Source organism: Homo sapiens, chromosome 3 (assembly GCF_000001405.40).
Source record: "Homo sapiens chromosome 3, GRCh38.p14 Primary Assembly".
Lineage (NCBI taxonomy): Eukaryota > Metazoa > Chordata > Mammalia > Primates > Hominidae > Homo > Homo sapiens.
Genome location: NC_000003.12, coordinates 43,011,320 through 43,036,047, shown reverse-complemented (window position 1 = coordinate 43,036,047; position 24,728 = coordinate 43,011,320). Strand labels below are relative to the sequence as shown.

The window sequence follows — 24,728 nt, the reverse complement described above, 5'->3', positions numbered from 1 at the left end:
TGGGGCTTTGCAAGGAGCTGTGCCTCAGAGATCAAGGCCCCAGGACACCCCTACAGGCATCCCCTTTTCCTGCCCTCGTTCATGGACAGCTGAATGACTGTGATTCAGAGAGTGAGCTCTAGAGTCAGACCATCCAGGCTGCTTCTCAGCCCACAAGCTGCCACCTTGGGCAAGTAACCTAATTTCTCTGGGCCTCAATTTCTCAACTTTAAAATAGGATTAAATGTAGTATCTCACTCATAGGTTGCCATGAAGAGTGGATGAGTTAATTCCTGTAAAGTGGGATGGTACCTGCTTCTTACTGAGTATGTGCCACCCGCCAGGCACTGTACTAAGTACATTACATGAATGACCTTGCATCCAGAAACTATGCGTGATCAATGTTATTATCTGACGAAGGCTGGGATCCCCAGAGGACAGACCAGAATTCAACTGAGAGCAGTTTACTTGTGTGCTAACTCCAAGAAACACAAGTAGAGTGGGGGAAGAGAGACAGCAATTACCACTGTGAATAACTGGGCTCCAATCCTGCTAATTTAACTGAGAGGTGTGTAGAATACGCATACAGGGCATCTATACACCTACTCTCCTCAGTCACAGTTGCAGGCTGCTCCTGGGGGCAACATGACCAACCTTCCTTGTTTGCCCACAACTGTCCCAGCTTCAGCACTGAAAGTCCTATGATCTGGGAAACCCCTCCTTCCCAACCTGCATGGTTGGCCACACTACCTGGAGGGTACTCATTCCCCAGCACTTCCAGTGCAGCAAGCAGAGCAAACCTGCAGATGCAGGTGCCAGCAGCCAGGAGCTACCATGTACTAAATGGTCAGGCTCAAGGGGATGAGGTTGGGGTGCACAACCCCATTTTGGGGTGAGAAAAGTAGAGCTGAGAGAGGCTAGGTAATCTGCCCAGGGGTACACAGTGGGAAGTGGCCTGGGGGTGGGAGTTCAAACCCAGGTTGGTCTGATGCCAAGGCCCATGCTCTTGATCATCAGGGTCCATAGCTCCTCCTTCCACAAAGCAGCCACGGGGACATAGATTGGAGGAGCTGGGAGGACGACAGGAGATCAGCTAGTCCCGTGACTGGAAACAGACTTATCTGCAGGCAGACTGGGGTAACATTCAAGAGGCCGGGAGGACAGTAGGTGAGTGTCGGACAATAAAGAGGTAGAGCCTGTGGCCAAAAGGAGAGTATGGCAACCTCCAAAGGGGGCAGCAGATGCTCAGCTCAGGCTGCTTCCTGCTATATGGGAATGAAGGACCAGTATTACTAAACCATCCAATTTTTCAAGGGAAGCTGGGTTTTTATGGTAAATCTCTGAAGTATTACATATTATCTAAGAATTTTCTAAAATAGAAACCCAACCCCATGTGGACGAAACACCACATATTGGTCCACTCACCTCTGCAGGTAACCCTAAGGGCTGACATTGAGGACCCTTTTCTTCAACAGGGGTCTCTATAGAAATGGGGGCTGGTTCCATGTCCATTTGGTGCACACATCCACCCTCACTGAGCTTTATCTGTTTTTTGTCTTTGTTTCTGTCTGGCCATGTTTCCACACATGTGTATCTATGGCTGAGGTCCAGCTCATGGGCACCGGAACAGCCACACTGGTTGTTAACAGACAAGTTAGTAAATAGCTGGTGCCTGTAGTCCCCCAGTCAGCCCGTGTACCCTGACAACACAACCCCTTCCCTGGGATTCCCACACTACCCCTCGATCCAGCAACTCCAGGGTTAACTCCTGACAGTTCAGGGACCTCAGCCAGCACAGTTCCTTCTCATTCTTCAGTGCCCAAGCATCCTCACTTTCTCCCTTCCTCTCCCATTCTCTCCATCGCTATCTCCACCTCTCCCTCTCTCTTTTTTAAAAATGATACAACCATCTTGAATCCTTGTTGAGTCAAAGACGTAAAGTTATAAACAGTGGTATGCTGATAAATGTTCAACAATCAGCTCTCCAGGAGTAGAGGGGAGTCCTGATTTGTAGCATTTGCTGCTTTCCATGGTGTAAACAGATATTCACACCCTGACGGATTTCAAGCTACCAACATGACCAAATGTGGAGTTGTCAAGAGATGTGCAGTGGCACACCATTAGCTAGCATTTATTATATAGTCACGAAGCTGCAAAAGCACAGATTATAGTAATATAATTAGGAAATAATGCATTCTGAGTAGTTATTACCTTTGTTTCTAATATAATTTATTGTTTCTACAACTTAATTTTTTAATAATGCCTGTGTTTCACAACTAGGTCACAAAATTCCTGAAAATTATAGCCATCAGCTCTTGTGAGCTGATGAGCTGGCTCCAGTAACCACTGGATAAATAAACAGAGGCAGGAAAATTACAAAAGCAGGTGCTTGGTGGTCAAAAAACCAAGACTTGGGGGAGAGTCACCATCTAACCTCAGGTGGGCAATTCAGGCCTCTCCACCCAGAACCCCCTACCTCCGCAGCTCTCTACCCCTGCTGCCCAACCCCACCTACCTGCAACAGGAAGTCGAAGAGCGCCAGGCGTGCCCACTCGGTATGGTGGATGCCCGGGCACGGGGCCTGGCCTGGCCAGTTGCAGCTGTGTGCCAGCAGGGCCTGATACTGCAGCCAGCCCAAGGCCAGAGAGTTCTGATCCTCATCTGGGTCGCTCAGGTGCTGCACATCGGGTGCCCACCAGATGACAGGCCTTGCTCCACCGTCTGTGTATCGGTAGGGCAGGAGGGGGCTATGGAAGCGGCGGGCCACAGCAGGTAGGCTCCGGCGCAGCCCCAGCACACGATCTACGTGGAAGGACAGGACCTCAGGCAGGTCCCCAGGCCTCTTGATCAGGCCACAGAGCCCTTGGGAACAGAGTTGGCTGAGCCTGGGAGAGGACAGGTCCTGAAGGGCAGCCTCAGTGGAGAAGCCAACCTGTAGCACCTGCCCATGGGCGGGGACCCTGGCTTTGTCCACCACCTCCCCCTGTGCCAACAGACGGAGCATCTGCACATCGTGGTCTGTCAGCCATGGGGGAGCCTGCCCACCAGTCCTCGAGCTGCTCAACAGCGTCTCAGCATCACACCATACTGACCCTTGCAGCTTCTCAACAGAGCCAGGCCACTGATGAGCTCCTGAGGCCAAGGTGGGATCCTCTGCTTGTTGCCCACCAGTCAAGGCTCTGTTCTCAGCTCCCAGCAGATCCCTGCCTTCTGCTGTATGGGGCCAGAGTGTCAGCCCAGAAGTAGCTCTCCAAGCCGGTAAAGCTGCCATGTCACTCCCTGGGAGTGGACTGACCAGGGTGACCACCTCACTCTGTGTCTCCTGGATGGGACTGCCATGCTGGGGGTGGCCCAGGTCTTTGGTTCCTGGATCTCCAACCTCATCCTCCCTCAGGAGCACAACATGCTGAGTACTGAGTCTTGGATGTCCTGACAAAGTAATGTCCCTCCTCACCCTCCCTGGATGCCTGAGGTCCCCTCCTGGGGACTCCCTGCTTCTGTCCACTCTTGCTCTATGGCCTTGCTCCTCAGCACAGACCAAGATGGAGTTCCTGGGCAAAGCACGGCTTCTCCAGAAGCCCATGTTTCTTGCCCGCTGCCTCCGGCTGGAGCTCAAAGCCTGCCGGATATGGGTTGCAGGGGCGCCAGTTACCCCCTGAGGCTCCATGGGACCAGGGTCTGGGCCGGCGGATGGACGCTGTGGGGGAAAGCGGGTGACAGCCATCGCAGATAGGATCATCAAGAGGCAGAACGCTATCACTGGCCGCCTCTTGCCACGCAGCTTTCTCCGGAGCCAAGACGCCTGAGAGACAGGGTAGAAAGAAAAGCTTGAGATCTGGGAAATACATCAGCTCAACCCACAAAACAATGGGGATGGTAAGCAAATGAGGTGCTCAGTTCATGAGAGAAAGAGAAGAGCACAGCCCAAGTGGAGGGACAGCTGGCTGCCTTCAAGAAAGGAAATGTCAACTCCAGCCAACTATGCTCCTGTTTTCAAGCTTGGCTTGCTTTTCCTTCTAGGGCAGCCTCTGCTGAGGCCTGCAGACCCATGCTCTTCTGTCTTATTCTCCCTTTGAATAAACTGCCATTACAACACTGTCACCATGCAACATAAGGGGCTTTTCTCACGTCTGTCCCCATCACCAAGAGCTGACCTTCTCTTTTTGTCTCCATGTGATCCCATGGGCCCATTCTGGCAGATCTCTTGATGTCCCCACACACATGCCCTTACCCTTTGCCAGAGCACATGGCCACCCAGTTAGAGATGACTTTGCCAGCCTCCTTAGCAACAGGGTGTGACCATGTGACCAAGTCCCTGACTATGTCATGAGAGCCAACCACTTTTGCCAGCCCCACATGCTTAAAAGGAAGTTAGCCACCCTGGCCTTTCTCTCTTGCCGTCCCTGCCGGTTGCACACAGATGTGGCAGCAACAGCTCTGCACATGTTAGCAAGGACACACCCTAGGGGCAGTGATTTCTCAACATGCAGTCCTTGGATTACGTTCAGGTCTTAGTTATTCAGTTAAATATATTCTATGCACACTTCAGTCAACTCTTGGTTGACTGAAGTTCACGTGGGACCAGCAGTATCAGTATCACCTGGGGACTTGTCAGAAATGCAAATTCTCAGGGCCCCACACCAGAATTCCGGAATCAGAAACAGGGGCTGGGCAGCCTGTGTTTTAAGAAGTACTCTGGGTAATTCTGATGTGGGCTTAAGCTTGAGAGCCACTGCTCTAGGGCATCATGAGCCACAAAAGGGAAGGAACGCAGTGTCTGGAGCAGTGCAAGCCTGCAGTTGGGAGTCTCTGTACCTGTGAGCCTTTATGTGACAGACCTACAGGCAGAGCCCTGGTACATAATGGGAATCAACAGATACGTGACTGACAAAATGAATGGACAATCTAGTCCAAATCACAAAAAAACTCCCCAAATTAAGTTTACTTACTAAATCCACCAGATATTCCTTAGAGATTTTTGATACTATATGCAGTGTGAGGCAATTTGCTGGAATGCACAGAAAAGGCACACGGGTAAACAGAATTTTAAAGGTGTCAAAGAAACAACACCCACAAAACAAACCAGATCCCACTTTTTTCCCCGCATGTGCTTGCTCTTCTGAGAAGCTCCCCTGTGGGTGTCAAAAGGGGATTATCCGGGATCTGCAGTGGACATGTAGGTGAAGTCCATCCTCAGTAGCCCCCTGCTTTCTCTCAAAAGTACCACCTCTATCCCCCACAATCCACCCGAGCCATATCTATCCAGGGACCCCGACCCATGACCTAAGCTGATGGGGCCATCCTGGATCCTGACCCATGCTGGGCCAACAGATTCTCACCCCCAACCCCAGCCCTGGGAGCATGGGCTTGTGATAAATCAGCAAGGCTGACTTGTCCTGCTCATGAAATAGAGAGCAGGGGCCCATTGCCACCCAGCCAAAGATGACAGCAGTGGGCCATACTCTGTTGAGAGCCAGTCTGCAGGGAGAGAGAAGGAAACCGTTGCATAGACAAACCAGAGATGAAAACAGGAGGAAAGGCCTTGCCCAGCATCCTGCACTGCAGTTCCAATTCTGAGCCTGGCCCAGGAACAGCAGTAGCCACCGCCTGGGGCTCTTCGGGACTGCGCAGCATCCACGAAACCCATTCTCACTCTACACTTGAGCTGTGGGTCGTGGGTACTCCTGCTACATGCAGCCAAAAAGGCCTAATCCAGGTCATCTCTGAGTTCCCTTTCCTCTACAATTAAAAGAGCATTTCCTGGCTGGGCGCGGTCGCTCATGCCTGTAATCCCAGCACTTTGGGAGGCCAAGGTGGGTGGATCACTTGAGGTCAGGAGTTTGAGACGAACCTGGCCAACATGGCGAAACTTTGTCTCTACTAAAAATACAAAAAAGTAGCTGGGCGTGGTGGCGCATGCGTGTAATCCTAGCTACTTGGGAGAATCACTTGAACCTGGCAGGAGAACCGCTTGAACCCGGGAGGTGGAGGTTGCAGTGAGCCAAAATTGCACCATTGCACTCCAGCCTGGGTGACAGCAGCAAAACTCCATCTCAAAAAAATAAAATCACAAAAGAGTCTTTCCTCCTTCAGTACCCATTTGACCTTCCCCTTCCTTCCAACGGCATGGCCTGGAGGAATGCCGCCCCTCATGAATTTCCTAATTTGTCTGTGTTTTCAGTCCCTTCTAAGTCAGTGGCAGTTTCTGCAGGAACCGAACACATTTCTCAGCACCGTAAACATCAGAAAATAATCAAAAGGAAGTGGAAATGGGAAATCTCAGTTACAGCCCAGCTGTAAAAAGTGCCCATGGCTCCCTCCTACCTCCAGTTCCTCTACATTGGTTCTCTCCCTGTCCTAACCCCTTCTGCCTCCTGGACATGAGGCCAGCATCTCCCTCTTAGCACCTCCATGAGTGGTGCACTGATGTCTCTTGGCCCCACTTTTGCCAAACACCTCAGCTGCAGGAAGCCAGTGTGTGGATCCCACTCTCTGGACCAGCTCCCTCATCTACAAGGGGTTGGGTTGGATGAAATAGCCTTTGAGGCCTCACTTCCCCCAATACCCAGTGATTCTAGCTCTTGGTGGACAGTGGAGGTGGACTGACTCAGCTGTGGGCTCCCCTGAACCTCCTCCTCCTGTCCATGTCAAGCACCTGTAGCAGAACACAGCTGCACAAGAGGACGCACACACCACCATTGCCCAGTAAGTCAGTGTAGGCCCTGGAGGGTGGCTTTCAAAGAAGAGGGTTGAAATGAGGGTTTTCTGCCCCTGCCCAGTCACCACCGGGAGACACAATCACTCCCCTTGGCCTGAACAGTGAGACCATGATAACCAAAGCCTCCCTTGCAGCTCTGAGCTGATCCCCCAAGACTCAGTGGGACATGCCAATACAAGGCGACTCAGGGCCAATGGATACTTTCCATCCACCTGAAGCTGCTGCTGGAGGGACCACTTAAGCTCACCTTCCCTCCCCCATACCTGGAGGGGAGGAGACAGTAGAGAAAATCCCCTCTGGCCTCTGGCACCCACGTGCTAAAATATCTTCCCCCCTCACCTGACACCCCATGCATTAATGCTTCTGTGAAGCCAGCAGGTGAGCCTATATGTCCCAGGGCCACAAAGCCCTGCTTGGACACCCTGCTTAAGAAGGGGTGGGGTGGTGACCAGCAAGCAGAAGGGGTGGGGCGGGGACCAGCAAGCTAAATAAACAGTGGGGAAATCAGGTGAGTCATGCTTCTGATGTCCCCCTCACTTCAGCCAGGGCCTCCAGGGCCACAGGGCAGGGAGACAAAGCCTAGAGAATATTTTCCTTGTAAGTTGTGTGGTCCTCTAGACAACCTGTGCTCCCCAAACCTGGACTGCATCTGGAATCTCTCGCCTGCTTACCAGAGATGGGACAGAACAATGGTTCTTAAACTTGCTCTGGGGATTCCTTCATGTTCTCCCATGGGGTGGGGGGTTAGGAGATGACTCTGTGTGCTCTGCACTTGCCACCCCCACCCACACACACATACACTTCCACCAAGAGAGCTCTGTGTTCTTTCATTAGGTGGGTTTAGCTAATTTACATTACTTGATATGCCATACATATTTAGTCTTAGTTCTGTTGTAATATTTTATGGTATATTTTCTGTATTGTAAATTCAAAATAAAATTCTAAGCCCCCTGACCATCTGAATGGACCCCTCCTTTTGGCCAAGGGCCTTCCAAAGTTAACCTGAAAAACTGGTTCAGGCCATGATGGGAAGAGGAAGCCAGACATGCCTCATTATACCGTCCTCCCTTTTGAAATTTAGGCCCAGCTGACCAGCATTGACATCAACACAGACCTTAAGACTGTTAGAACAGCCTCTTTATGTCTGATAAGAAACATTTACAGTCTATTTCCTCAAGCCAGCTACCTAGAGGCTCCAACTGCATGATAAAGCCTTGGTCTCCACAAGCCCTTATCTTAACCCAGACATTCCTTTCTATTGATTCTAAGTCTTTAGACAATAACTTAACTCTTTCAATCAATTACCAATCAGAGAATCTTTGAATCTACCTATGACCCAGGAACCCCTGCTTCCAGTTGTCCTTCCTTTCTGGACCAAAGCAATGTACCTCTTAAATGTATTGATTGATGTCTTATGTCTCCTTAAAATGTATAAAACCAAGTTGTAGTCTGATCACCTGTTCTCAGGATCTCCTGAGGGCTGTGTCACAGGCCATTGGTCACTCATATTTGGCTCAGAATAAATCTCTTCAAATATTTTACAGTTTGACCTTTTCATCAACAATATTTATAATATTTGAAGTCTTGTACTATGTTTTCTTTTCTCTTACTTTTACTTTGTCTTTTGGTGTATATTTCTTATAATATTTAGGAAATTTTGATTTGGGTCCTAATTATTACCTTTATTATTGTATGCCCTTAATTGTCTGGTTCTTTAGACTGTAGCTCTTAATCCCCTAAAAAGAACAATATTAAAATTATTTCCTCTTCCCCCTCCTTGCCCTCCCTTTCCTCTACCATTCAATTTTCATAACTAGTATTATCTTTTTAAATGTTTATCTTTGTACAATTAAATGTGTTTACATTTCTATATATTTCTCAGCTTTAAATGATATTCTTTAGTTCTCTGCTATTATTAATGAAATAAACAGCATATTAATTCTTTCTCCCACCTTTTGCCTTCATCCCCCATCCAATTGTTTATATTTGTGTCATACGCATTGGTACAATAGGAAGCGTATACATTCGATTCCATCTCTCTAATACCCACATTTGTTCAGGTCTTAGTTATTCAGTTAATATATTGTATGCACACTCTTGTCCCTTTGGACCCAGTTTCCCATTATTTCTTGGTTGACTGAAATTCACATGGGAACAATATTCTCTGATTTCTTGCATGTTCCAACTGTTTTCTACAGCATTCATACATGAAGTAAAGTTGCCTACATAGAAAATACTTGGCTTACAGTTTCTTTCTTTGAATAGCTTATGGGTTCTGCTCCACTGTTTTGTAAGGTTAAGGGAAATCTAAGATTGAACTGATTTTTTACCCTGCCTGGCTGCCCTAAGAATTCTTTCTTTTTCTTTAACATCCAGTAACATTCCTAAGATCTATCAGTGTTGACTGTTTCGGGTCAGCTTTTCTTGGCGTGCAATATGCCCTATTAGAAAAGGTAAACACAAGTCTTTTTATTTCATGAGAATTTTCTTGAGCTAAATATTAAATATTTCTTCCATTCCATGACTTTATTTTACTTTTTTCTTTAGGCTCTTCAATTATGTACACGGTGGCTCTCCTTTATCTTCCTTATATGTTTCTTACCTTCTCTTTAATCCTTTCTAACTATTTTCATTTCATTTTGTTCACTGTTCTTGTTTTTATACTCTATTTGACTTACTGTGTTTTACCTAATATTTATTCACCCTTTCTGTTATTTTCCACTTTTCCCTACTTCTTTCCAGCTCATATTTCACATCTTTCCATTTTACCATTTTTTCTTGAGTTCTTGCATTTCTGCTTTGTGGTATTTATTCACAGAGGGTACTTTAAGTTTTAAAAATTCATTGTGATAAGATTGCTCAAAATTCCACTGTCTCCAGGTAATATTTTCAGGTGGCCAGCCCTCATCTGTTAAGAAACATTGCTGTTCTTTGTCTCCTTTTTTCTCACAGTATCTCTGCATAGATGCTGGACTGTTTTTATTGTATGAGTTGGACCAGTCAATTGAAAGAGGTTCCTGTAGAACCCCGGTGGAATTTGAAATCAACCGGTTTTCATGATGCAGATGCTTTCTTCTTCTCATCTACCCCATGACCAGGCTGCATCCTGCAAATATGGCTTGTTGGCATGGCTCTTTATGTATCACAGTGTCCTCTGCTTTTCTAATCCCAATAGTCCAGCTGGATCCTCTGAGCCACTAAACTTGCCCCCATCCCATTTCCACACCCTCTTTTGCAGACAAGCGGGGGATGGTGATTCTGCTCCTCAGGTGTGTCACTCACCTTCCGGCATATTTCATTGGTGCTTTCTGAGATCTGCCAACTTGGGCTCCCTCTTCCACTCTTTCTCACTTCCTCCAACACTGCACCTGCATGAAACTGGCTGCTTCTTACGCTGTTCCCAAGTATTTTGGTGACTGCCTCCTAATTTATCTGAAAAAGGAATTTGCATTTTGTCTTCCATCTTCTTTGTTACTTTCTGCTAGTTCCAGGGTAAGGTGAGGATGCAGAGTTTATGCTGCCGTGTTTACACCAGCAGTCCTCAATGGTACTTTTTTAAGAAGAAAGGAGTGTGCCCTTACCGAATGCAGTGACTAATCAGCCCTCAGAGCAACGACCTTTTTCCAACTTCCGTGCTCAGGAGCCACAGCACCCAAACAGACCTGAGAATTCCAAGAATTTTGTTCCTGCTGCACACTTCCACAAGATTTATTCACCAGCTTTGTGTGAATCGAGTGCAGCCTCCAGGCTGATCACTTAGCCGCATTCTTCTGGAAAGACCACCCTTGAAGCCCTTTGGAGTGACATGGACCAGGAAGTGAGGTGATCCACCTATCCCAGTTAGACTTCTAAGAGTGAAGGAGAGAGGGAGGGACCACAGGGTCACCTAGCAGTTCTCCACTTTCTAATTTATTCACCATCTCATCCTCTCTCCTATGGATTCCCATCCTTCTGTTTCCAATCTGGCTAAAAGGTAGCACTGTCCACCCAGATACCCAAGCCAGAAATCTGGGCCTGACCTTCATTCCACCTTTCCTCTGCCCCATACATCTAAGTCTTGCAAATTTTTCCTCCTAAACAGCTCTTGAACCAATCCGTTTCTCATTAGACCCTCTGTGACTGAGCCCAGGCACCCTCTTCTTTACCAGGACACGTGCAACAGCCCCCTTTGCTCCCACTCCTGCTCCTCTGCAGGCCACTTGCCACAAACTGGATCATATCCTTCAAAGTCTCCTTAGAGAACACCTAAATGCCGGAAGTGCTCTAGCCATGCTAAACTTCTTTCAATTCTGGACAGTGCCAGACCCACTCTGTCTCCACACCTTTATATGTGTTGATCCTTCTGCCTGAAATAGACCCCTCCTCCTGTTTCCATTGCTCAGGTCTCAGCTTAGACACCACCTCCCCCAGGAAGCCTTCCCCTGAGACTCCTCAATGAATTGGATGTCCTCGCCGTGTGCTCCCATAACACACTGTTCCTTCCCAAGCACACCCCTTTTCACTCTGTACTGGATTTGATCATTTAATGTCTGTCGCTCAATGGATGGGTTGATCCATGCAGGCAGGACATGGGCTCACAATTGCATCTCCAGACTATCACAGTGCCTGGCACGTGAGAAGCTCTCTGCAAAATGAGCTGTCAGATAAGAGGGGTTATCAGGGAGGTGGAAACACTGTTCCCTGGCCTGTGGCACTGCACGTCTGCTGGTGAAGAGGGCTCCTCCAATCTCCAAGGCTCTTTTCTGTTTGGAAAGCCAGCCACCCCCACCCACTACCCAACACAGCAGATGCTTTTTGTGCCCCATTATTTTAAAATGTACCCAGAGTTTGTTTCAAGCAAACACTGCACCTGCAGTGTTTGGTAAGACACAGAGACACAAAAATAATTGCCATGAAATAAGTTTTTGATATATTCACAGTCAGCTAGAAACAGGAAGTACGGCATGCCACACAGGGCCACAGGAGCTGAGATGGGCAGGCAAATTGCGAGAGCAAATGCAGCTGAAGCCTTTACTGTGGTTTTCACAGTACGGAATGAGCAAAGAAAGTTAAGCTAACTGAAATTGAATAATTTCAGCAGGCTCTGGGCTATAGGTGATAGAGCAGAGGACAGACAGAAAGCTGATAAAAGAAGATGGGTGATATAGACTCAGAATTGGTTGGTTTGCACACGAAAGGTATGCTCACAGGCCAGTTGATTACTCTCTCTTCTTAAGAATTAGCTAACCCTCGGAGGGGCAGTCCTTCCCTAAGTCCACAAGGCACCAGACACCAGAGCATAAAAAACCAGAAAATAAGAGAATATAGTGAACACACCCACGTTATGTCCCCGTGGCCCCCGATTGACTCCAGCTGCCCCCACAGCAGACAATCCTCCTGTGTACTGCCGGTCCCCACCTCAAGGACCTGATCACTCCTGCTTTCTTGCCTGCTGTGCCAGGAAGCTCAGGGGAAATTAACACATCTGGTGACAGCCCTCAAGCAATAAGGGACAAAAGTCAGTGGGTAAATAAGCCAATCTCCCTCTTGAGAGGCATTCAATATCATTGCAACTAACAGTGCTCAGTAGGTCTGAGCCTCTTTTCTATAAAACAAATGATGCCTTGTCACCCCCTAAGATACATTTATCTGATGATTTTTCTGAAGTGAGATCCTAAATTTCTGTCCCAATTAGATATGCTTTTAATTTGGTCTATATTGCTATTTTAGAAAACACACAGGTACTACATGCATAGATATGCACTGTTAAAAACCCATATACCAAATAAATCAGGGCAAAATCGAACATCTCCTTCTCCTCCCCAGAGGAAGCCACAGTTAGCAATTAGGGTGTGCATCTTCTCAGGCTGTTGCTTTTCTTTGCATTATAACATATGCATATGTCACAGTATATTAGTTTCCTGTAGCTGCCATAACAGATTACCACTGACTTGCTGGCTTAAAACAACATAAATGTATTCCCTCACAGTTCTGGAGGCCAGAAGTTCCACATCAGTTTCACCGGGTCAAAATCAAGGTGTCAGCAGGGCCGTGCTACCTCCAAAGGCTCTAGGGGAGAATCTGTTCCTTGCCTCTTCCAGCTTTTGGTGGCTGTCGGCATTCCTTGTCTTGTAGTCACATCACTCCAGTCTCCGCCTCCATGGTCTCCTCTTTTGTTTGTGTCAAATCTCCCTCTGCCTCTTACTTAGATGCATATTTGTGATGGCATTTAGGGTCCACCTGGGTAATCCACAGTAAGTTCCCCATCTCAAGATCCTAAATCAGATCTGCAAAGATCCTTTTTCTAAATGAGATAACATGCACAGCATTTGGGGATAATTTTTCAGCCTACTACACATGGTAATTATTTTCAGCATAAAGGAAATGACTATGCCACAACTTGCTTTGATTGACATAAGAGGCCCTGAAGCTTTTTCCGTATTTATCCATACAGAGGTGCTTTACTCTTTTTAACTGCTGCATAATATTTCACAATGTAAATGTGCCATGATTTCTTTACTCATCCTTCATCCTTTTTATTATAACAAACAATATTGCACTGAACATCCAATACATGCAGCTCTTGGAAAGAATCTAAAAATTTCTACAGAGGAGATGCCAAGAGAGGAAGTTGTTGGGCCCCACTCCTTCTCATTGCCCTTACCCTTTCATCATATATAAGTTACTATCTCCTTTAATCCTCACAACAACCTAGAGAAATGAGAATTATATAATTCCTATTTTACAACTGAGAAAACAGAAAGGTCCAGAGTGCCAATGTTTGCCCACGGCCATATAGCTGGCAAGAATACCAACATTTTAAACTAACACTGAAAGGGGAAATGGCCATGGACAAGTTGGCTTGGTTTTTTTTTTTTTCTTCTACAATGAAAAATGTGTTGAATTCCTAATATGTATTCTCAAAGTATTGGATACCACCAGGGTAAAATAAATCATCTTTTGCAAATGTTTCAAGAAGACAGACTGTTTTGATCCTTCTTTCAGCCTCACTTGGCTTCAGAAAACCTGGGGAAAGTTGGCAGTTGTGCAGTTGTGCAGAGAGAAAAGTTCAAAACGGCCATGAGCAGATGTCCCAGGGAGGGCCACCCAAGTAAAGCTTTGGGAAAAGAAAAGCAGCTTTGATCAGACTGAAAAAAAACATCATCTGAAGAGAAATATTCAGCTGAATAATAAAGAGTACATTAGAGAAAACATAAGGGGGATGATGCAGAATCTACTACAAAGTTTGCTGGTGAGACCCAAACTGACCCTGCCATTGCAGACATGCCGGGGGGCGGCCCCACCTCCTCCCCTCAATTCTAACCATCGAAATTACACACCCTGTCTTTTCTGCCCTGCAATGTTCATGGCAGGAGGGAAAGAGAAATGGAGTTACCTTCACTGTGTGGTTCTACAGCTACTCTCTTTCTCCTTCCTTGTCAAGCCCCTACCTCTCAACCCTTCACCAATACCCCTCCTTAATTCCTCAGAGAAGATGCCCATGGGCTTAACAGTCCCATCCACCCACAGTTGCGGAGAAGGAGCAGTGAAAACAGGGGGGTAGCTAGAGAAATAGACACACAGGTTTTGTTGAAGACACCTCTGAGTTCTGCTTCTGCCCTTCTGAGCTGCGTTACAATAGGCAAGTCACACAACCTCTCTGCCCTGTTTCCTCAGCTATAAAATGGGGAGAAAGAGATATCTTCTCCCTCCAGGAGTTGGCACAATAAATAAATGAGTCAAAGTATGTAAAAGGCCCACTACATGGTTGGGTATATTTACATGAGTGGTGGGATCCGGGATTTTCTGTCCCCACTTCTGGATACAGTCTACCTTTCAGGGGTCTGAAAATACTCCTCTTCCTGGGTTTTGGCTCATCGTAAAGTCAGAGTAAAAATGGGGATATTTGGGAGCATAACAGAAGGTAGAGACAGAAAGAGAAGCTCTTTCATTGTAAAACCACAAGCGTCAGCCAGGAGGAAGCCACCTGGGCAGTGAGAAAGTTCTCACTGTCTGCTGAAGCTGCCTCCCAAGATAACCAGGATGGAACAGGAAAGAATTTATTGGCCTTTTAAAATCACGTGGAAAGGTGAGGAGGGAAAGGGTGGGAGCCAGAAGGGAAGTATGTCAGGGAGTTAAAGGAGAAGACAGATTCTGACAAGAATGGGGTTGGGGCTGCCTAGCAATTGTGGGAAGGGAAGCCAGGAGAGTTCTGCCTGAAGGAGCCCAGCCCACTGAGAAGCTGGGGAACTGTGCGGGGCAGGGGACAGGAACCACCACCAAACTCCCTGCCATTGCCTCCACAAGGGTAGAAACAGCTCTCAACCGGGAAGTGCAGCTCTCAGCCATGAAGTTCTAACCATCAAGGGCAGTGTCCTTAATAGCATTATTTGTTTACAATTCTGGGTTCCCCACCTTACCATGGTTGCACTGCAGATGCAGTCTACTTCCCTGCCTACTCTGTGGCTTTGGCCATGTGACTTGCTTTTGCTACCAGGATATGAGTGGATATAACATACACCATGTCCTACTGGAGGCTTTAAATGTGTTTGTGTGGTTTGGCTTGCCTCCTTGCAAATCTGTCCTCACCGTGAGAAGAGCTTGCCCCAGGTGAAGCATCTGGAACAAACCTGAACTCAACCTCCAGCCTGGAGCCAACCCAGCCATGCTCACCAGGCCCAGCCTACCCAACTCCTATTACCAAAATATAGGCATATGTTTTGGTTAGCTATTGAGACTGAGGCTATTTGTTATGCAACATTATTGCAGCAAAACCCAACTAATACACACCTTTTGGTGGCATCTCTTGGGCTCAATGTGTGCCCTCGGTCAGATAACAGGCAGGCAGGTTAGCAATGAAGCCTAGCACCCCTCCCTCAGTTAATAAGAGTGTAGTGCTGTCTCTACAAATGGGGCTTAGGCTGTGATGAGGATGATGGTGCAACCCAGTCACAGACTTATCTCTTGAACCAGTTTCCCCAGTAAGATGGTATGGAGGGAGCCTTCTGTCAAATGGAGGTCTTTTAAGAAGGACTTTTCTGAAAACGTTGAATACAAATGGACTTTGCACAGAGACAGCTTGAGAAACAGGAACGCTTGGAGGAAAGGACCGTACTTAGAGTTTACAGTTCGTACTGTAATAGGCAGCAGGAGATTTTCCTCATTTCTGTAGGGAAAGGAACACTCTTCTTTGGGGAAATCCAATCAGGATCTTGCCTGACAGTTTGGCACTAGATCTCCACTCCCCAGACTGCCTCTATGCCCTGCACCACTCTACACCCTGACACCTCCACTGCCTACAAATATGACTGCAGTTGGCTGGCTGCACAGGGACCAGCTGGCAAAGACAGAGGCTAAGTCATCTTTCCTCAACTACCAGACATCAAAAAAGGATGACAAAAATTTGGTCCTCCACCAAACTGCCATGGGCAATGGGATAACATGCTGGGCAGGGAAGATGGAGAGAAGACAGATCACATGCTCTTCTCCCCACCCAAACAGACAAAATCACAAAGCACTTGTAAAGTGTTTTTTAAGAGTTTTCTGGGTGGGAGAAGGGGTAGAGGGAAGCCATGTGATGGGGTGTGTGTGTGTGTGTGTGTGTGTGTGTGTGTTAAAAACGGAATTTGGGTCTAACTCTGGAGTCATCACTAAAGGTGTGACAACCCCTTAGTTTCTGTTCCCCGACCTTTGCCCCTTTCTAAACAGCCACCCTGCCTGATTCATCACTACTTAGGCTCTGAGTTAAACTGGCAAAGATTTGGGAATTTGGAGTTTCTGTTCCATTTCTTAAAGTGCAGTTTGTCACAACAAAACTATGGCTGGGGTGAAAGGGAATATATGAGCAGACTTTTTCAGAGGGCTGGATTAAAACCACATGTCCCAGTCCTAGGAGGAACTCAGCAGGCAACCCTGCTTTCCTTGATTTCCCAAAGTCAGACCCCAGGCAGGCAGAGCTGAACCGGCCTCTAGGGCAAAGGCAACAGGCACAACCTCCCTCTCCAGTCAGATATGCTGGGTCCTGAGAGGCTGGGCTGTTTGCTCCACTGTGGGCAGAATAACAGGCAGCCTGTCTCCAAAGCTACCACCAGGCCAGGCTCCCTTGCTCAGCTCCATCAGAGGGCTTTGATTTTTCCTTACACATCAGCAACTTCAAGACAAGAGCGGACTTTTGCCCCTGTAATTTCTGGCTCAGCCAATTCCAGGAAAAAGAAAGAAAACCAAAAGAATGATAACTAACATTGATTCAGCATTCACTACATGTCTGAGACTGCTTGAAAACCTTACTTATAATTTAATCCTCATGCCCGTCTTATGAGATACGTACTACTGTTATCATCCTTATTTTACAGGTCAAGAAAACAATGCATAAAGAATCAGAGAGGCCCAAGGCTCACACTGCTGACAAGGGCAGCACCAAGGCACGAACCCAGGCAGTCTGGCTTCAGAGCTAGCTGACCTAGTTGCTGTGCCACCCCAGGAAGAAGCTGCCACGTAAAGCCCCTGCTCCAGCCCTAATTCCAAAAGACTGCACTGGGTCTTGGGGTGGGCCTTCTCTCAAAGGGGGCTTATCTGTTCAGGACTGATCAGTTTATCCACAAGTGAGGCTTGAATGAGGTCAAAGGCAGGTTGCAACCTTTTTCTATCAGGACAAATTGAGGAAAAATAAAAATATTTTTAGGTTAAATGTTTTTCATTCAAAATGAAAACAGCTTTGTTATGTCTCTTGTCCTCCTTTATTCTTTGAGAAATAGAAGAATATCAATGAGAAAAATTCCACCATTTGATATACTGCAAGCTGGGCATATTTGAGAGGTAGCATCAGAAGCAGCTTACTAATAATCTGTTATCCTTAAATTAGTCTAAGGCTTGATGGCTAAAACAGGCAGGTTCTATGCCTCCCGCTTATTCCACAACCAGATGGTGCCCCAGTCCCATGTCAAGAATTATCCAGACTATCAGCCAGGAAATTGAAAACATCTGACTTGTGAGGTGACTATAGCAGATCCCCAAAAAAATGACCACTTATTGAGCACATGCCATGCGCCAGGAACTCTCAAAATCCTACAACATATGTGCTAATATGATAATGTTACAATGGTAGAAATTCAGATTACTGGCAGGCAAGATTTAAATTTTCCAATAGCCCATGTACTTCTCACTTCACAAACAAGGATGAGGGAAGAATCCACAGTCTCGGGATAAAGATGTGAGTATAGGAGGGTGCTAAGCATGGGGAAGAAATCTGGGATTTTGCTGCGATTTTTGCTGTCTCATTCAACAACTTCCCGTAACTTCACACAGCCCTTCCATATGACTAAATACAGCCACTTCCCGTGACCTCAAGCAGCCCTTCCTGTGACTTCATACGGCCACTTCCAGTGACTTCACACAGCCCTTCCTGTGACATCACACTGAATCTTCCTGTGACTTAACACTACTTCTTCCCGTGACTTCCCACCTTCCTGTGGCTTCACCCTGGCCCTTCCTGTGGCTTCGCACTGGCCCTTCCTGTGGCTTCACACAGTCCCTTCTTGTGACTTCCCACAGCCTCTTCCTGTGACTTCACACTATCCCTCCCTGAGACTTCTCCTTGCCCTTCCCTGTGGCTTCAGACGGCCCCCTGTGGCTTCACGCTGCCCCTTCCTGTGGCTTCACACAGCCCCTTCTTGTGACTTCACACAGCCTCATCCTGTGACTTCACACTGCCTTTTTCTGTGACTTCACACTGCCCCTCCCTGTGACTTCCCATTGCCCCTTCCTGTGGCTTCACACTGCCCCTTCCTGTGATTTCCCACTACCCCTTCCTCCCTTCCTGTGACTTCCTACTGCCCCTTCCTGTGGCTTCACAGGGCCCCTTCCTGTAGCTTGACACAGCCCCTGTGACCCCACACTAGCCCTTACTGTGAACTCACACAGCCCTTTCTTGTGACTTCACACAGCCCCTTCCTATGACTTCACACTGCCCCTTCCCATGACTTCCCACTGCCCCTTCCTATGACTTCACACTGCCCCTTCCCGTGACTTCCCACTGCCCCTTCCTATGACTTCACACTGCCCCTTCCTGTGACTTCACACTGCCTCTACCTGTGACTTCACATTGCCCCTTCCTGTGACCTCACACTGCCAATTCATGTGATTTCACACTATCCCTCCCTGTGACTTCACACTACCCTTCCTGTGACCTAACACTGCCCCTTCCTGTGACTTCACACTGCCTCTGTGACTTCACACTGCCTCTATCTGTGATTTCACACTGCCCCTTCCTGAGACCTCACAATGCCACTTCATGTGACTTCACAATGCCCCTTCCTGTGGCTTCACACAACACTTCCTGTGACTTTACATGGTCCTGTCCTGTGACCTAACAGCCCCTTCCAGTGGCTTCACACAGACCCTTCCTGTGAAATCACACAGCCCCTTTCTGGGACTTCACACAGCCCCTTCCTGGGACTTCACACAGCCCCTTCATGGGATTTTACACTGCACCTTCCTGTGACTTCCCACTGCCCATTCCTGTGGCTTCACATAGCCCCTTCCTATGACTGCCTATGGCCCCTTCCTGTGACATTCCACTGCCCCTTCCTGTAACTTCCCACCGTCCCTTCCTGTGGCTTCACACAGACTCTTCCTGTGACTTCACATAGCCACTTCCTGTGACTTCCCACTGCCGCTTCCTATGACTTCACTCAGCCACTTGCTGTGGCTTCCCACTTCCCCTTCCTGTGACTTCCCATGGCCCATTCCAGTGGCTTCAAACAGCCCCTTCCTGGGACCTCACACAGCCCCTTCCTGTGAACTCTCACAGCCCCTTCCAGTGGCTTCACACAGCCCTTCCCTGTGACCTCACACAGCCCCTTCCTGACGCTTCACAAAGCCCCTTCCTGGGGCTTCACATTGCCCCTTCCTGTGACTTTACACTGCCCTTCCTGTCATGTCACACTGCTCCTTCCTGTGGCTTCACACAGCCTCTACCTGTGTCTTCACAGGGACACTTCTGGCATGTTCACACTGCCTCTGCCTGTGGCTTCACACAGCCTGTTTCCCTGTCATCACAGCCCCTACCTATGGCTTCACACAGCCTGTTTCCCTGTCATCACAGCCCCTTCCTGTGTCCTCACACTTCCCCTTCTTGTGGCTTCACACAGCCTCTACCTGAGACTTCACACTGCCCCTTCCTATGACTTCACACTGCCTCTTCCTGTAACGTCACACAGCCACTTCCTGTGACTTCCTATGCCCCTTCCCGGGGCTTCACACAGCCCCTTCCTGTGACCTCACATTGCCACTTCTGCCCTCACACAGCCCCTTTCTGTGACTTCACAGAGCCCCTCCCTGTGACTTCACACTGGCCCTCCATGTGACTTCCCAAACCCCATCCTGTGGCTTCACACAGACCCTTCCTGTGGCTTCACACAGACCCTTCCTGTGGCTTTACACTGCCCCTTCCTTTGGCTTCACACTGCCCCTCCCTGTGGCTTTACACTGCCTCTTCCTGTGACTTCACAGTGCCCCTTCCTGTGGCATCACACAGCCTCTTCCTGTGGCTTCACACTGCCCTGCCCCTCCCTGTTACTTCACACTGCCCTGCCCCTTCCTGTGACTTAACACTGCCCCTTTCTGTGGCTACACATGGCCCCTTGCTGTGGCCTCACACAGCACCTCCCTGCCTGTGGCTTCACACTGCCTCTACCTGTGACTTCCCACTGCCCCTTCCTGTGGCTTCACACAGCCCCTTTCAGTGACTTCACACACCCGCTTCCTGTGACTTCCTACTTTCCTTCCTGTGACTTTGCACAGCCCCTTCCTGTGGCCTCACACAGCCCCTTTCTTGTGACTTCACACTGTACCTTCCTATGGCTTCACACTGCCCCTTCCTGTGGCTTCACACTGCCCCTTCCTGTGACTTCACACTGCCCCTTTCTGTGTCTTCACACAGCCAGAGATCCTGTGACTTCACACAGCCCCTACCTGTGACTTCTCACTGCCCCTTCCTATCACTTCACACCGCCCCTTCCTGTGACTTCACACTGCCCCTTCCTGTGACCTCACAAGCCCCTTACAGTGGCTTCACACAGCCCCTTCCTGTGGCTTCCCACAGCCCCTTCCTGAGAATTCGCACTGCTCCTTCCTGTGACTTCCCACTGCCCCTTCCTGTGATGTCATACTGCCCCTCCCTGTTATTTCACACCACCCTGCCCCTTTCTGTGACTTCCCACAGCCCCTTCCTGTGACTTCACACTGCCCCTACCTGTGATGTCACAGAGCCCCTTCCTGTGGCTTCACACTGCCCCTCCTAGTGGCTTCACACAGCCACTTCCTGTGACTTCACCCAGCCCCTTTCTGTGACTTCTCACTGTCCCTTCCTGTGGCTTCACACAGTCCCTTCCTGTGACCTCAAATTCCCACTTCCTGTGACCACACAAGCCCCTTCCAGTAGCTTCACACTGCCCATTCCCAGGGCGTAAAACAGCCTCTTCCTGTGATTTCACAGTGCCTCTTCCTTTGGCTTCACACAGCCCCTTCCTATGACTTCCCATTGGCCTTTCCTGTAGCTTCACACCACCGCTTCCAGTGACTTCACATTGCCCATTCCTGTGATATCAAAGTGCCCTTTCCTGTGGCTTCACACAGAACCCTGCCTGTGACTTCATACCACGCCTTCCTATGACTTCATACTGTCTCTTCCTGTGACTTCACATGGCCACTTCTTGTGACTTCCCATAGCCACTCATTCTGACTTCCCACTGTCCCATACTGCGACTTCACAAAGCCACTTCCTGTGACTCCCTGCAGCCCCTTCCTGCAACTTCCCACAGCCACTTCCTGTGACTTCCCAATGCCCCTTCCTGTGGCTGCACAATGCCCCTCCTTTTGGCTTCACACTACCCTCCCTGTGGCTTCACACTGCCTCTTCCTGTGACGTCACACTGCCCCTTCTGTGGCTTCAGACTGCCCCTTCTTGTGGCTTCACACTGGCCTTTCCTGTGACTTCACACAGCTTCTTCCTCTGACTTCACACCATCCCTTCCTTTGACATCCCACTGCCTCTTCCTGTGACTTCAGACAGCCCCTTCCCATGACTTCACACTCCTTCTTCCCGTGACTTCTCACTGACCCTGCCTGTGGCTTCACACAGCACCTTCCTGTGACTACCCCCTGTCCCTACCTGTGACTTCACACAGCCCCTTCCTGTGACTTCACACTGTGCCTTCCTGTGGTTTAACACTCCCCCTTCCTGTGGCTTCACACAGCCCCTTCCTGTGACTTCCTACTGCCCCTTCCTGTGGCTTCACACAGTCCCTTCCTGTGGCATCACACCACCTCTTCCTGTGACTTCACACTACCCCTTCCTGCCGCTTTTCAAAGCCCCATTCTGTGGCTTCACACAGCCCCTTCCTGTGGCTTCACATTACCCTTCCTGTGACTTCACACTGCCTCTTCCTGTGACTTCCAACAGCCACTTCTTGTGACTTCCCACTGCCCCTTCCTGTGGTTTCACAAAGCCCCTGCCTGTGAACTCACACTGCCACTTCCTCTGACCTCACCTAGCCCCTTTGTGTGAGTTCATACAGCCACTTCCTGTGACTTCACGTAGCCCCATCCAGTGGCTTTACCCAGTTCCTTCCTGTGATATCACACTACCCTGTCCTGTGACTTCCCACAGCCCCTTCCTGTGACTTCACACAGCACCTTCCTGTAACTTCCCACTGCACATTCTGGTGGCCTCACACTGCCCCTTTCTGTGACTTCCCACTGTCCCTTCCTGTTGCTTCACACTGCCACTTCTTTGGCTTCACAATACCCCTCCCTGTGGCTTCACAATGCCTGTTCCTGTGACTACCCACTGCCTCTTCCTGTGGCTTCACACAGCCCCTTCCTGTGACTTGACACAGCCCCTTGCTGTTACTTCCCACTGCACCTTCTTGTAACTTCCTACTGCCCATTCCTGTGGCCTCACACTGCCCCTTCCTGTGACTTCACAGCACCCCTTGCTGTGGTTTCACACGGCCCCTTCCTTTGACTTCACACTGCCTCTGTGACTTCTCACTGCCCCTTCCTGTGGATTCACAGAGCCTCTACCTGCGATTTCACACTGCCCATTCCTGTGGCTTCACATTGCCTCTTCCTGTGACTTCCCACAGCCACTCCCTGTGACTTCTCACTGCCCCTTCCAGTGACTTCACACAGCCCCTTCCTGTGACCTCATACTGCCCCTTCCTGTGACTTCACACTGCCCCTTTCAGTGGCTTCACACACTCCTTCTTGTGACTTTCCACTGCCCCTTCCTGTGACTTCCCTCTGCCCCTCCCTGTGACTTCCCACAGCTCATTCCCGTGATTTCCCATGCCCCTTCCTGTGGCTTCACAAAGCCCCTTCTGTAACTTCACACTGCCTCTTCCTGTGATTCACACAGCCCCTTCCTGTGGCTTCACACTGCTTCTTCCTGTGGCCTCACACAACCCCCCTTTCTCTGACTTCACATAGCCCCTTCCTGTGACCCCATTGCCCCTTCCTGTGACTTCACACTGCCCCTTCCTGTGGCTACACACAGCTCCTTCCTGTGGCCTCACACTGCCTGTGGCTCCACACTGCCCTTCCCTGTGACTTCACATAGCCCCTTCATGTGACTTTCCACTTCCCTTCCTGTGACTTCACACAGCTCCTTCCTGTGGCCTCACACTGCCTGTGGCTCCACACTGCCCTTCCCTGTGACTTCACATATCCCCTTCATGTGACTTTCCACTTCCCTTCCTGTGACTTCACACAGCTCCTTCCTGTGGCCTCACACTGCCTGTGGCTCCACACTGCCCTTCCCTGTGACTTCACATAGCCCCTTCATGTGACTTTCCACTTCCCTTCCTGTGACTTCACACAGCCCCTTTCATGTGACTTCACACTGTGCCTTCCTGTGGCTTCACACTGCCCCTTCCTGTGGCTTAACAGAGCCACTTCCTGTAAGTTCACCCTGCCCCTACTTGTGACATCACACAGCCCCTTCCTGTGGCTTCACACTGTCCCATTCAGTGGCTTCACACTGCCCCTTCCAGTGGCTTCACACAGCTACTTCCAGTGGCTTCACACAGCCCCTTCCTGTGACCTCACACTGCCCCTTCCTGTGACCTCAGAAGCCCCTTCCAGTGGCTTCAAACAGCCCCTTTCTATGGCTTCCCACAGCCTCTTCCTGTGACTTCCCTCTGCCCCTTCCTGTGACTTTCCACAGTCCCTTTTTGTGACTTCCCACTGCTCCTTCCTGTGACTTCCCATTCCCCTTCCTGTGGCTTCACACAGCCCCTGCCTATGGCTCAACACTGTCCCTTCCTTTGGCCTCACATTGCCCCTTCCTTTGGCTTCACACTGTCCCTGTTACTTCACACAGCCCCTTTATTTGGCTTCACACTGCTCCTTCCTTTGGCTTCACACTGCCGCTTCCTGTGACTTCACACTGCCCTTTTATCTGGCTTCACACTACCCCTTCCTATGACTTCACACAGCCCCTTCCTTGGCTTCACACAGCCCCTTCCTAACGTCACACTGCCTCTTCCTGTGGCTTCATACTGACCCTGTGGCTTCACACAGCCTCCTCCTGTGACTTCACACAGCCCCTTCCCTTGGCTTCACACAGTTCCTTCCTGTGATGTCACGTAGCCCCTTTCTCTGGCTCCACACAGCCCCTTCCTGTGACTTCACATAATTTCTTCTTATGACATCTTCCAGCCCCTTCCTATTGTTTCACACTGCTCCTTCCTGTGACTTCACTCTGCTTCTTCCTGTGACTTCACATTGTCCCTTTCTGTGACTTCACACAGCCATTTCCCATGGCTTCACACAGCCTTGACTTGCTGCAATTCAGTGTGTGCTAAATCCTAGAAGCCAGCCCTGCCTTGTAAATGACAGCCCACACAGTGGGTTCTTACATACAGAAAAAGGTTCCTATTTGCAATAAAAATCTCTTGTGATCTCCTAACCATTTTTTTTTTTTTTTTTTTTGAGATGGAGTCTCACTCTGTCGCCAGGCTGGAGTGCAGTGGTGCGACCTCGGCTCACTGCA

General features: G+C 49.1%; 1 protein-coding gene across 1 annotated transcript in view; it reads right to left on the bottom strand.

The window, feature by feature from the left end:
- Window positions 1-24,728, bottom strand: part of GASK1A (golgi associated kinase 1A) — a 78,405-nt gene that overhangs the window by 21,668 nt on the left and 32,009 nt on the right. The window contains exon 2 of the mRNA NM_001129908.3: window positions 2,495-3,781. Coding sequence (NP_001123380.2) covers window positions 2,495-3,781 — 1,287 coding nt within the window. The remainder of the gene's footprint in view (window positions 1-2,494; window positions 3,782-24,728) is intronic.